This window comes from Homo sapiens, chromosome 2 (genome assembly GCF_000001405.40).
Source record: "Homo sapiens chromosome 2, GRCh38.p14 Primary Assembly".
NCBI lineage: Eukaryota > Metazoa > Chordata > Mammalia > Primates > Hominidae > Homo > Homo sapiens.
The window spans coordinates 147294358-147308735 of record NC_000002.12 but is presented as its reverse complement, the minus strand read 5'-3'; the positions used below and the strand labels follow the sequence as shown (position 1 = coordinate 147308735).

Genomic DNA, 14378 nt, shown 5'->3' with positions numbered 1-14378 from the left:
TTGATTTATTTGGAAGTTCTTTACCAGATCAGGTCAAACTAAATATGCTGTGACTTTACCAGTTCGGGAACAAAGCCATCAAAGACAGTACCTTTTTTATTTCTATCAGGCTGATAAACATTTGTATTATCTAGCCATCTAAGTTATTCATAAATTTAATACAAATCCAAATATAACTTTGAGTGTGTGTGTCTATATATATATGTGTATCAATACGGAGGATTAATAATAATTCTCATATTTATGTGAAAAACTGGGAAGAAAAAATACCTGGAGATTTTTAAGAAGAAGAGTGAGGAGTGGGAACTTATACTGCCAGATTCTGAAGCCAATTATAAAGTTAAAATAGTTGTAGTAGAACTGTAGTAGCTCCAAAATAGATGGAAAATTTTAAATGAACAGAAGTGAAAGCCAAGAAAGAGACCTAATACATAATAAGTTGTGTATGTTGTGTAAAATCAGTGGTAAAAGATGAAATAGTTGGTTAATGGGTGTAAAAATAGTAAGATATTTTAAAAGTTATTAAAAATAAGCTTCAGAAGAACTAAAACTGTTAAGAATAAAACATTAATTTAGAGAAACTAGGTAAATGTCTTTATGATGCTAGACTATAAAAGGGCTTTGTAACATGAGATCAAAAGGAAAACCATAACTAAGAGAGAAAAAAAGTTTGACTTCTTACAGGATGTAAAAGACTTCTGTATAGCAAAATGCAGCATAAACATTTAAAAGACAAGTAGCAAATTGAAAAATGTATTTACATCATATGCATTAGCCTTAATAAAATAATAGTTATTTATTGTTAGTTAAAACAACCAACAAACAAACATAACCAACCACTCCATAGATATTAGGCAAAGGAAAAGAATAGTAAAATCTTAATGAAAAGGTAAAAGTAGCTAATAAATATTAAAAACTTTTATCTGTTGATTTTTAAAGATTAAAGAAAATGACATAGAAAATGTTTTATTTACTTATGTATATTTTGCATTGCCCTAAGAAGTATTAAGATATTTACAGAAATGTTTCAATATAAAAAATAGACATAAAAAGCTGAAAAGTTTGGCAAATGCAAAAGCAAATAAAAAACAGCAGCAGCAGCAACAACAAAATATATAAGAATAGACAATGAAGTCAGAGACAAGATTACTATCTGTATTAGTCTGGGTTCTCCAGAGACACAGAACCAATAGAAAACATATGTATTTTATTGGAAATATGACAAGAAAAATATATGTATGACTTTCTATTTGCTCTGAAAAAATGGAAGGTCCATGGTCATATTGAGTGACTTATAGTTAGGAACTTACACAACTGGGCAGTATGATGATTAACTTTATGTGTCAACTTGAATGGGCTAGGAGGTTCCCAGATATTTGATTAAACATGATTTCTGGGTATGTCTGTGAGGGTGTTTCAGGATGAAGTTAACATTTGGATTGGTAGAATAAGTAAAGCAAATTGTCCTCCCCAGTGTGGATAGGCCTCATCCAATCTGTTGAAGGCCAGAATAGAATAAAAGGTGGAGTAAGAAAGAATTGTTTTTCATGCCTGACTGTCTTTAAACTGGGCCATTGATCTTCTCCTGCCTTTGGATTTGAACTGGAATTTACCATCAGCTCACCTGGTTCTCAGGCCTTTGGCCTTGGACTAGAACTATACCATTGGCTCAACTGCAGATCTTGGACTTCTTATAATCATGTGAGCCAATTCCTTATAGTAATCATATATATATATATATATATATATATATATACACACATACACACACACACACACACACACATATATACACACGTGTATATATATGTGTGGGTATATGTGTATATATAATTTTCATATAATATTTTAAAAATGTAAAAATAACCTAAGTTTACAAGAGTCATGTAAGGAAGAAGTCATGTGTGGCTACCTGTTACTGTGTATTGTTACATTGATCCTTAAAAGTAAGTTCAGGAAATAAAAAAGTAAATTCTAGAAGCTTTATGAGTTCATCTGTAACATTTTCTATGAAAATTATTCATAAAACTAAGATATCGATTTCTTGGCTTTGGAAGATGAAGTACTTCTTCAGCTTATATTTGCCTTCGACTTATATAGTGAAGGCAATGCTGTGTGAACACTTGGTGCTTAAAAATTATTTTTGATGGTTATTTGCTTAATGCTTAAAACTTGTTTATGTTCTTCCTTTTACAAACCTGAATTCATTTTAAGATGTTGATTGTTCTAGTTTTGACACCATTTAGGGTATATATTAATGTTTATTTTTTTATATAATGTCTGCATTTAGACAAATATTGTAAGAAATTGCTTCTGGAAAAAAGTGCAAGAAAGTTAAATGTGTAGTTTTATAACTGTGAAATGATGATTAATCTTAGCAATTTAAAATTAAGCTCCTCCATTCCTGTCACAACTGGTGTTACTCCTCCCTCTGCCTCCTCATGATGATCCAGAGATATTTAATGCCTTTAGTTGTGCTTGAATCTTTCTGTCACCCTCCTTGTCTTAAAGAATGAATAGGTTTTGATGTATGGGTCACAGAACAGAGATAGGACTGTCAGGGACTTTGTGTGCTGCGTTGTTAATTTAGAGAATCCACTTTGTACCTAAGTATTAGGAGCACTGACAATGACTTGGTCCATGAAATCACTGTTAGAAAGCATTTGGGGCCCTGAATTACCAGGTCAGTTATTCACATATGTTGTTCCTAATGATTGAGCCACATTTACATTATTATGAGCCATTATTATTTTCTATCAGTCTTCTTAGTCCAGAAAACAGCTATAGTATACATAGAATTCCTAGGCTGATCCAAAACTTGACTGGCTTTTTAGAGCATAGGTAAAAGAGTCACCATCATAGGCAGTGTTAAAAATTGTATTAGTGTTTTAACAATATACAGGGTCTGATTTCCCCAAACTTACCTTTAAAATGTTTGCTTTGTTGATAGCTGGCCATTCTCTCAGTCATCTGAGCTCTCTTTTGGAAATCTTACTCTTGCTTTGTTATAGATGTCCCCAGGCTGAGTCCTGATAACTTCTTGTAATTCCACAAATAACAGCACATTAGTCAACCTGTGCTGGTGAACTCACTGTCTGGGGAAAAAAAGGCCTGATTTGTAGAGTTTGCTGATTTCTGTGGTGTAAATATTTCCCACCATGGCCAATTTCAGCTACAAACAGTGTATCAATCAGTTTACAATTTCCGGAATAACAATCAGCTCTCTGTAAGCACATATTAGCTTGAGCACAACACTGTGTGTGTGTGTGTGTGTGTGTGTGTGTAAATGACAGTCCATTTGGAAAAAGGGTTGAATCTATTTAGGATTCTGAGAGCTGAAAAGAAAAGATAAAGAGAGGCTCAGAATTACCCGGGGACTTGTTGCAAATTTACTTGCAGGTTGTTAAAATTTATCCCTAATAATTACTCAGATTTTTAATGGAAAATTTAAAAGCTTTCCCATGAAGCTTTGGCTGTGAAAATTCCATTTACATCCTTTTGGCCTCTGGAATACTTCTGCATTTAAATGTATCACTGGCTGCTCCTAGCTTTCCTTATATAAGAGTGTCTGTAAATAGTGTTGTCTTGATGCAAGTTCAGCTTGAATGATGGGTGACTTGACATAAATATCTTTCATAGCTCTAGCTGCAGATGAGCTGGGAGAAGAGAGGATAGGACTTTTTTTTCATTTTTTTCTTTTTTTCCTTGCTGCTTGAGGGTTGTTCCGTGCTTGGATAACAGAGGTTAGTGTAATGGATAGGAAGCCAGGTTGTTAACTGTCATTGAGCTTTCATAATGTAGAAAAGCTGAGGTGAGGGTGTAAGGATGGATACAAAGAGACAGAGTTTTACACACAAGGAAATTATAATATTGTTGGTCTGCAAGATAGATGCACATGTTTCTGGTTGCTAACTGTTAGTTGAAGTTTCCAACGTTAGGGCTAAATGGTGGGATTTGGTGGAAATAAGGTTAGAACAAATGTTGACTGGTGTTTATTCTTCACCTCCATGAACCAATAGGGGCATTTTAAATTTATGTATCAGACTGGCTTGAAGCGTTAGAGATAGAGTAGACCCCAGTAAATACTTTTATTTACTGACATCTGTCACTTTTCAGTAATATCCAAGAACAGTGACTAACACTTAATGAGTACTCACCGTGTCAGGCATGCTGTTAAACACTAAACAGCATTATTTCATATAATTCTCACAACAACTCCATGAAAGAGATATACTAGTATTGTTTTATAATTAGGAAAATGAGGGCTTATAGAAGTTGAATATTTGATTCAACTTAAAACTATGTATTTCTAAACCTATTTATCAATGTGTAAATTTGTGTGTATTTTATTTGCAAGTTATGGAAAGAAAGTGATAAGGAAATTAACAATATTTAGCAGATATGTGTCCTAAGTTTAGAATGGCATGATTTAAACTGCCTGCCAGATTTTATGTGCATGAGGGGTTCCTTCATTAATTTGAGAGTACTGCCTGGTGGTCAGGTCGACAGCATGTGGCATTACCCTCGTCATAATGCACAGTGACTGCTTGGCCAGCACTCACAAAATCCTTTTAAGTTACTATGTATACCCTTCAAGTATCCTGAGATTATGCCTTATGGAGTCCTGTGTCCATCTCAAGTAAAAATCGTGACTAAAAAATACAATGTGAGCCAGAAGGCCCACAGAAAAAGAAATAGAAAAAGGCTGACACCAGTGGAGTAAAAATCTAGGCTCTCAGATGCATTAAAAAAGGTGAATTAATGAGCATTATGGGTTTTATCTTTCACCTTGGTGTGCAACACTTTGTATGCGGTAATTCCCAATGGTTTCATGCCTTATGTTATTGTAGATCTATTGGACAGTCTCAGGGACTCTGTTTCTGTTCATGAATAAACATTTTTAATATGTTCACATGTTTACATAAAATGTTTATTTGCAGTTCATATTGATGTGATACGGAAAAAAAAGGGGAGCATAAACTGTTTTTTTTTAACCTACCAAAATATATCTCCTTTTTTATTATGTCAAATTTAAGTTTGATTTAAGTGTTTTTGAATCACTTGCCACTTTCCAAGAAACTAACCAACATGTAAATTGAGAGATGTTAATATATATGTCACTGAACTGTTTTTAAAGAATCAAAGCCCCACAAAAGAAAAAAGAAACATACAAAATAGGAGGTATTACCACTCAGAATCCAGAGAATCTAGGGCAACAAGTAAAATGTAGTTAGATAATTCTTATTACTCTTGGAAAGTAGTGTTCTGATTTTTGAGAAAAGGTGACATTTTCTCGGTTAATTCATATCACAACTGACCTTATAAAAGGAACATTGAACAACATAGTGTTTTTTATCTATAGCTGTACCTCAAACAGATAGGTGGTTTTCAAATGAATTTTTTTTTTATGTCTACCCTCAATAACAATCCCAGGACATAAATAAGTGAAGGTAATTCTGTTGGGAGTAGGTTGACCTAATGAGCATAAAAATGATAAAGTATTTGGCAATGCTGAAAATTCTGTGAGGTGGTGAACAATGAATTGTGGTTGGGCAGTTAATGAAAACTTAATAGAGGAGAAGGCATGAAAATACCGATGATAGTGATGGTGGTGACAATGGTTATGCTGGTTACTAAATGTGAGCCAACAAAAAGCCTATGAAATAGATGCTATTACTATCTGCAACTGATTCACAGAAGATGAATAGTTTGGCAACAATCACAAAGCTAATAAAAAGTGAAATTGAGGTTTAGACTCCCATGTATCCCATTTCAAAGATTACAATCTAATTCTAAAAATAAGACATATATTTGAAATAAATGGGTAACAATACCAGACAGTACATAGGAACAAATGAGGGCTCTGAACCATGAGTATAAGAGAAGATCTAAAGGAGATAGAGTTTCTGCTGTGGAGGTTAGGGCAGGCTTCCCGGAGAGACAGCAAAGCAGTGTGCCTCCTATTCTTTACTCAGCCATAACCTCACATTGTGTGAGCTTTCCACAATTGTATGACCAACCTGAAGATCTCAGGGAATGCTCTCAACCAGCTCACAAGGGAAAGAGGCATTTTCTCTATAAATAAATTGTCTGCCATGTTGGGTCAAATATTTCCACTCACTTATATGAAAACAAAACATCTCTATTAAGAGCAAGTTATATCCTGCATGCTGTGATTTCCTACACAATCCTCTTCTTAAGAAAGATTAGGTTATTATTGAATCATCTCTAGTCTGGGGTACTATAGTGCACACTCACTGGAATGGATCATTTATTTTAGGAGTGGGAATGTAGAAACCAAAGGTCATAGGTATTTGGCTTCATTTATTTTCTGGACTTAAAATCTATTAATGACATACTCTAAATTCAAACAACTGCAGGAAAGAAATGCTTTCCACTTTCAGATTTTTAAAATGTGTTTTAGTAGATTATCTCATTTTCTGTTGTGGGAATAACATGTGTTTCGGAGTTGTAATTATGTATAATTTTGTCAATTTCCATGTTTTATGCAGTATTGTGCCCTAAATATCTAATACAAGTGTAATATGAATGATTAATTCATTAATGTTTCATACTAGCACAAGACAGCACTTTGCCGACGTCTTTGCCATGACAGTAGGTGAACCTTTATTGTAGATTTTAACAGGGGTCAAAACTACACCCTGCAGGCCTGATTGGGTCCACTGTCTGATTTTTCTAAAGTTTCCCAAGTTTTATTGGAACACAGCCATGCTTATTCCATCACATATTTTCTGTGGCTGCTTTCACAGAATAATGGCAGATTTGAGTAGACCATATGGTCCACAAAGCCTAAAATATTTACTATCTGGTCCTCTACAGCAAAAGTTTGCCAAGCCCTAGATTATAACATCGTGACTCAGGAAATGCTGTATTTTAATCTTTCTTTGCCTATTCCCAAACCCAGGAAGGACTTGAAGTTTTCATAAGTAGAGTTGATAAAACTCTAGCAGTTGGTGCAAAGTGATGAGAAAAGCACAGCCAGTGAAGACAGAAAGGCTTGTCTTGAGTCTTGGTTTAACTCTTCTTTACCTATGCTGCCTTACACAAACTATTCATTCTTGCTAAGCCTCAGCTTTCTTATTGGTGACACATATATATATATGTCATCAATATATATGTATGAATATATATATATGCCATATATGTCACCATATATGTGAATATATATTCACAAATAAGAGAGATTATTTTCAATAACATATTTAAAGTCAATACTATTATTTTTGTAGCTAAAACATTTCTTATTTCTATTCTAAGACATAATAGCTTATTTTAGAGTTGCCTTGGTTCAGATTAGTGACTGATTTTTCAATCATGTTTTGGTGACATCTTAAGTAATCTCTGGGAATCTCAAAGCTGGCTGTATAGTTTTCTTTCCTAAGTAATTACAATTCAATTTGATAGTATCCTATGTTACTATATGATCAGTTAAAAAAAGTATTTCCGGCCGAGTGGGCGGATGACGAGGTCAGGAGATTGAGACCATCCTGGCTAACATGGTGAAACCCCGTCTCTACTAAAAATACAAAAAATTAGCCGGGTGTGGTGGCAGGAGCCTGTAGTCCCAGCTACTCGGGAGGCTGAGGCAGGAGAATGGCGTGAACCCGGGAGGCGGAGCTTGCAGTGAGCCGAGATCTCACCACTGCATTCCAGCCTGGGCAACAGAGCGCGACTCTGTCTCAAAAAAAAAAAAAAAAAAGTATTTCCAAGAACACATTGAAAACAATAAAAATTTGTGGAAAGCATTATGTTAGACCCTGAGCATATAAAGATAAGTAAGACTTTGATGTAAAGAAGTTCTAAACTGGGACGCAGAAGCTGAAACAGGGACATATGATTAACACACAAGGAATTGGACAGTGGTACAAGGAAGACACTAATGAAATTCTTAGAGTAGAATGTACTGACAATATGGTAGGTATCAGATGTAATATGAAAAATCAAACAAAGACTTTATGGAAGTAAAGAAATTCGAGATGCGCTAAGAGAAGGGAAAGCAGAACATTCCATGGGAAGGGGATACTAGGGAAGAAACCGAGAAATAGGGAGGAAGCATAGGGGTGTTCTGATAACAGGGAGGGATGTTTTGACTGTGGCATCCATACGTGTATAATACTGGAAGAGAACACTAGGGCCAATGCACTTGAGAGCCATTAAGCCAGAACATATTGCAATTATCAGTGTGAGTTCCAATAAAGGCTTAATTTGTGTGATGACACTGGAAATGAGAAAAATCATTTTAAGAGTTGATGCAACTTTTTCTGAGTGCCTACAGATGTTTGTATATTCTCTCTTTCATCTGGTCCTCATAACCTTCCTGCAGTAAGTAGTAAATTATAATTCTATAATTTAGAATTATAAAGAAAAACTGGCTTAAGAGGAGAAGAGGATATATTTGACTTAGATCTTGTGGCATTTGAAGGCATGATGAGTGATCCAGTGGACCGTGCTTAGAAGAAAGTTGGAAATTCATCTGCAGGGTCAGATGGCCCATGCAGAAACCCTTCTTCTTCTCTACAAGACTAGTAAGCTTTATTGGCGTCCCTGTGCTGCCCCCTTTCTTCCCATGTCCTTCTGGGCTGTTTCAATTGCTTGATTGTCCTTCCACTGACTGAGGGGCCACAGAGCTTTAGAAAAAAGAGAAATAAGGAACAGAATGGTAATGGCATCTTCTAGGGCCATGAGCTTCTATCTTCATCTCCCTTTTGGAGTTCGGGGAGAGTGTTTTGGATTTTATGTGAACCTGACTGTACTTTCCTTGGACAGCCTTGGACTTGGGATTGATGGGCAGGAGCCAAGTTCTGAATCCTGCTGTCTTGATGTTATCAGGGGTTTGTTATTTTTTTGGTTTCAAGACATACCAGAAGAACCTGGGGGTACCTGTGAAAATACTTGGGGAAGTAGAATTTAAGCACTGGACATATGGTAAGTAAATATAGACAATTTTTCTTAAAAATAAAATAAATGAATTGATCACACAGTGGAAAGCTTCCTGATTTATTCTACAATGTAAGGGTGGACACCTAATAGCTTAGCAGTCCTTTGAATATTTTGCTGTGCAAATCTTCTTGGACGAAGTATTTATTCCATGGAGAAGAACATTTGATCAAGAGCTGAGAGATACAGGTTTCTTTTCTAACCTGGCTCTAAGGCAAACTAGATGAGTAATTATTCATAAGTTCATTTTCTGTAAAATGTGACCAAGTACCCTGAGTTGCTAAAAAAAAAAAAAAAAAAAAAGCAAATGTTATAATAAACACTAAAGTACACTCTGAAGAAGCTCTACAGAGGAGGAGCTTGTCTTCCCTTTGTTTTGACATCTCCTTACATTCTTTTACTCTCCTAATCTCTTTCATTTCTGTTTCCCTTTTTTGGTCTCTCAAACCTCTGCCAGTTCTTCCAATCATGAGCCAAGAAGTAAACTTAGCAAAATATATTCTTCCATCATCACTGCCTCTCAACTGCCTGAAAGGGTCAAAAGTGATATGACAACAATGTGCTTTTGAACCTGCAAAGTTCTTTAAATAAAAGGCAAAATCCTAATATAATCCTACAGCATTGACATAGGAGAAAATTACTATAATTATGCAAATTAAAATAAGTCAACAAGTTTCAGAACACAATGCACGATAAGTAATGTTTTTAAAAATAACAGTAACTGAGCCTGGTCATTTGCACTTAATAATAGGCTCAGGAGGGAGCCTAGTGTCTGAGAAGAAACAGCCGTGGTAATAGATATATTGTGGTTTTGATAGGTTCTCTCCTGTAGTTTTATTTCTGTATTTGCTTTAGATTATAGAAAGCTCCCAGAGTGCCCTGCTATTGAAATTCCCATCATTCCCAGGGCTTTAATTAAGTCATTGGATTTGACAGAACTTGAATTGAGGAGGCCTACCACTATGTCAGTTTATGCCAGGGTGATATTATCAGGGCCCTGGCAACTATGTGCTCAGGCTTTAACTTACGTATGGAGCTGTCTCGCTGTGAAACATAAGGCACACATGCCTCCATGTGATTTTAAAAGGCATTGAATATGGTCTACTATGGCAGTAAGGTCTTCAAAAAATCCAGAAGACAGGATGATACAAAGTGGATATTTTGGCATCATGGAGCAATGAGCTTTGAAATCAGAAGCACCCAGCCTTAAATCTCATACCTACCATTCATTAGTGGGGTCATCTCAGGAAGTGATCCAAATTTTCAGAGCCATGAATTTCTGTTTTGAAAAATGAGAATAATCCCAGCTATCATGGGAGTAATGTGAAAGTTAAATGTTAAAAGGTCAATAAGCCCTGAGCCTAGCAGGTATGTGGTAGGAGTTTAATAAATATTATTTCCTTTTTATTCACCTAATTTGAAATTAATCATTGCTTGTAGGAGTAGTCTTCCATTTCTTTCCACCTGTGAATCTTTGAGATATAGGTGTTATTTCTTGGTTTTAGAACAAATTTGGCCCTGAGAGCCCAAGGTCAAGGTTGGCTAGGGTTGTAACCATTTTCATTTAATTTTAGAAACAAATAAAATGCCATTTGCAGCATGTTGGCATTGTGGCTTCCCTCTCATGGCTCCATCCATCCCACATATACCTCGCTGAATAACAGGTGTCAGTGTTTTACCCCAGCAAAGCTGGAAGCAGCTGTAGCAACGTGCTAGTAGAATGGCAAATGTTGATCATGTATAGTGATTTGCGGTTTTTCTCTTTCTTTATGAAGCCTCTTGATGCAAACCAGCACCCATTTCCAGAGAAACAGGAAACACACCCATTTCACAATGAGTAATAGAACTTACTTTAGTCCAAACCAAATCTAAGACTAAAGTTTGGGTATACAGAAAGTGTTTGATTTAGCACATGTTGTTCACAGCACAAGCACTTTAAGATCAAAAGTTTCATTTCTTTCATATGTGTTACTTTTTTCTATGCAAGCACAAGACTTTTCCATGTGTTTCATTATTGTTCGGGGAAAAAAAATTAACATGCTGGATCAATGGAAACATTTGTCTACTAATAAGAAAATTAGAAAAGGAGTGAATAGGTCAGGCCTAGTTGGGCTATACACCCTCTACAAAGCCAGCAGACAAAGTTGCTCCCTTTCAGCCCCTAAGAAGAGTATCCAACCTTGTTGAACATTAAGCTTCTTCCTAGTATTTATTCATCTGGATAGAGGTACAATATCCTGACAGGTTAGAGCCAGTCCTGGCCAAAATTGGGATATAGAAAAGCTTGATCCTCTCAGGGTACTTTTCTCACATTGTGGCTTTCCTTTCTTTTTCCTGGCTACCCGGTCATGGAATTCTCTCCTTAGCAGGACCTGGACTCCTATTTTTCCTCTATCTTCCTCCTCTTATAAAAGTCTGATATCCGTCGTCATCAATGTTAATGACTGCCAAACTTCTTCTAGAGATATTTATATATGAACAGAGATAATTCTTTGAACATATTTCCTAAAGTTGGATCTTAAGTAACAAATATATGTGAATAAAATGTTTTTGGGCAGAGACCCACCCTTTCTCCATTATTCAAATTATATCACATGAAATAATAAGATGCCACAGAAAAATGGGGACAGGAGCTAGTTCTTTTATGAACTTGCACTTAAATTGCGTCATGTTAAACTATGATGTATGTTCAGTTAAAAGATCATTAAAGTAGATCCTAAAGTGCATGATGTATTAGCTTATGGTAGAACAACACTCCCACTGAGAACAATAGAAAAATGGGACAAAATATAAAAAGGATGTATTTGAAGAATTTGGTGAACAGTTGAGGTAACTTAGGGGCCAAGTTACTAGAAAAGAAGGTAATTATTGAGAGATGAGTTGATATTTTGTGAGCTGCTTTCCTTCCAGAGATATTTATCATTCTTGGCCAGTGGAGAGAGTCTAAAAATCCTAGAGGGGTTTGCAGCTAAGAGGCAGAGAAGCCAGCAGAACTTCTGATAAATCCACAATGCAAAGAAAACAATTAAAGCTCAGGGTTATGAAGGCTCCTAGGACTTGAGAGACCAAGATGCTGGAGAGAGGGGAGATGCTCGAGGGGCCAAGATGCTAGAGATACCCAACCTTTACAGATCTTCCCTTGAGTTTTTGTGGAATTCTTAAGTTGGGCAGAGGAGGAAGTTAAGAAGCAAACCAGAAAGTCACACTCTGACAAGCGAGTGGGGCATCTTTGGGCACTCTCATGGAGATAAAGAGACAAATAATTGGAGTCATGACCTATTAAGCAGAAAGAGCTTACCAGTCTCTCAGTAAGGACTCCTGGAGGGTTCACATCGGAGGGGTGATCCAGAGTTGGATGAAGGTTTACCAAAATGTAGCCTAGCCATGATCTACTTAAGTCTCTACTGGATTGTGGTGATCTGTCCCCAGCTCCTAATGGGAATTTCAAAATGCATACAATCGTTTCTTTATGGAAAAAAATTTACCAGTTGCTTTTGATTTTTAGTAAAACAAGAACGTTTGGCTTAAATGGTAAGAGAAATTATTTTTATTGGCATAAAGATGAATCTTTATATTTACAGGGTCTTAAAGCTTAACCTACACCCTTCAAGAGCCTTTTAGTGTTGGGGAATGATGACGTGCTGGTCTGAGCTGGTCTGAAGGCAGTAGGATAAACTTGTTCATCTTTGAGTATCTAGAGTTTCATGACTTAATATAAATTATTACCTATAGCTAGGTAACCATATTCTCTCCTCCCAACCCTATTCTCAGTGCAATGTGAAAAGACATTTTAGATGTGGAGTCTGGAGATCACAAGGATTAACATCAACTTATTTGTGTTTCAGTTTCTCCTTCTGTACTTTGGGTCTCATTCTCACCACAGGTAGGGGATAACTGCAAAACATATGAGATAATACAGAGAGGGCTTTATGATACTTGGAAAATGCCAGGAACTTAGTAAAGATCAAGAGTCCCTATCATTGTATTAGAAAGTAGAGCAAATTCTGACTTGTTTTGTACACAACTTATACACCACAGTGGATAGGCAAGGATCTCATTTGGGTGACTGAGCCAGAGATTTAATGTGTACCAAAAAGAAAAAAGCGCTGTAATTGTGGCCATTTGGTTAACTATATAAAACTAGAAACCTACCGCTCAAGAGATATGGTCTAAGTAGAGCAGTGATACCTATGGGCATCAGGTAGATGCAAAATCTGGATGGAACAATTGTGTAGCTTATCTAGGCAATAAGATTGTCTTGTATTTTTAACACATGGGACAGTAATTTCTAAAATAAAATTAAAAACCAATTTTCAGTTAAAAATATTTAATGTACAATGTAGAAATCAGCTCTAAGCAAGACATTGGCTGTGGAATTTTCTTGAGAAGTCCAGAATTCAATGCATGAATCTGCAGTATAATAGTCATCCCATAATTCTTCAGGGGCAGTTCAGTCTGAGACAGGTGTGTTTATCTGTATATTGTCCAGGCATATGGATAGGTTCCTTCCAAATAATAAAGTTTGAAGATGAGATAAGTCATTGTGCATTAGCATGGGACACTTTAACAGGCATTAAGGTGAAAGCTCCTCCCACCACTCATTCACTACTATGAAGAGAATGTTGCAGTAAGAACAAAAAATCATGGGGCATACAATAACATTCTACCCAGGCCTCAAGATACACTGTTTGTTCCAAACTCTTTTAATTTAGTTCCTGCACATTATGTAAATGATGTAAGCAAGTGTTAATGATATTTTTAATAGAATTGATTCAGAAGGATTATAAGCCAAATGGGATACTTTAGAAATGAGTCATGGCAATTTAATAGGTTCAGGTACGGGTCATTTATTTTCCAGAACTGTGTTGCTCATTCCAATGGGAATAGTATCAGAGAATAACAGTATATAAATCGTTTTACTTATTATCTTCCTCCTCCTAATTTTTTTTTGTGTGTGTGTGTGAATGTTGTGAAGAGTAACAACTGTGACTTTAGAAATGAGCTCTTCTTGAAGACAGTCTTGTTTGTTTCAATACATAGGGCTCATCAGAAGGGTTTTGGCTGTATTATTATCCTGTGTCTGGGATGGTGTCTGGCACAGAGTTGATACTCACTGAGTATTTCCCTATCTTTTATTGACTGACCAAATAAAAAATGGAAAGACTGGCTGAATACCAAGGACTTAGTCAAGGTAGCTAGGGCAAAACAGGGAGTGAAACAAGCTTCCAGATGGCAGGCCAAGAAGACAAGGATGCAAAATCCCAACACCTATAAGATGGCTTAGAGAAATTTTAAAATAGAAAATAGAGTTCCTTATATTCTCCCTGCCAAAGGGCAAAAGCAGTCTATGTTAAGGGAGATACTGAATGTAGTAATTGCGAGAATTAGGGACCTCACTGAGAGTGAGAGCAAGTGGAATG

At 36.1% G+C, this 14378-nt stretch overlaps 1 annotated feature.

The window, feature by feature from the left end:
- Positions 10953-11062: an enhancer, noted in NCBI's record as "active region_16612". NCBI's record gives its function as "activates an Ori minimal core promoter by ATAC-STARR-seq in GM12878 lymphoblastoid cells {active_cell/tissue: GM12878}" and the evidence as "EXISTENCE:reporter gene assay evidence [ECO:0000049][PMID:35858748]".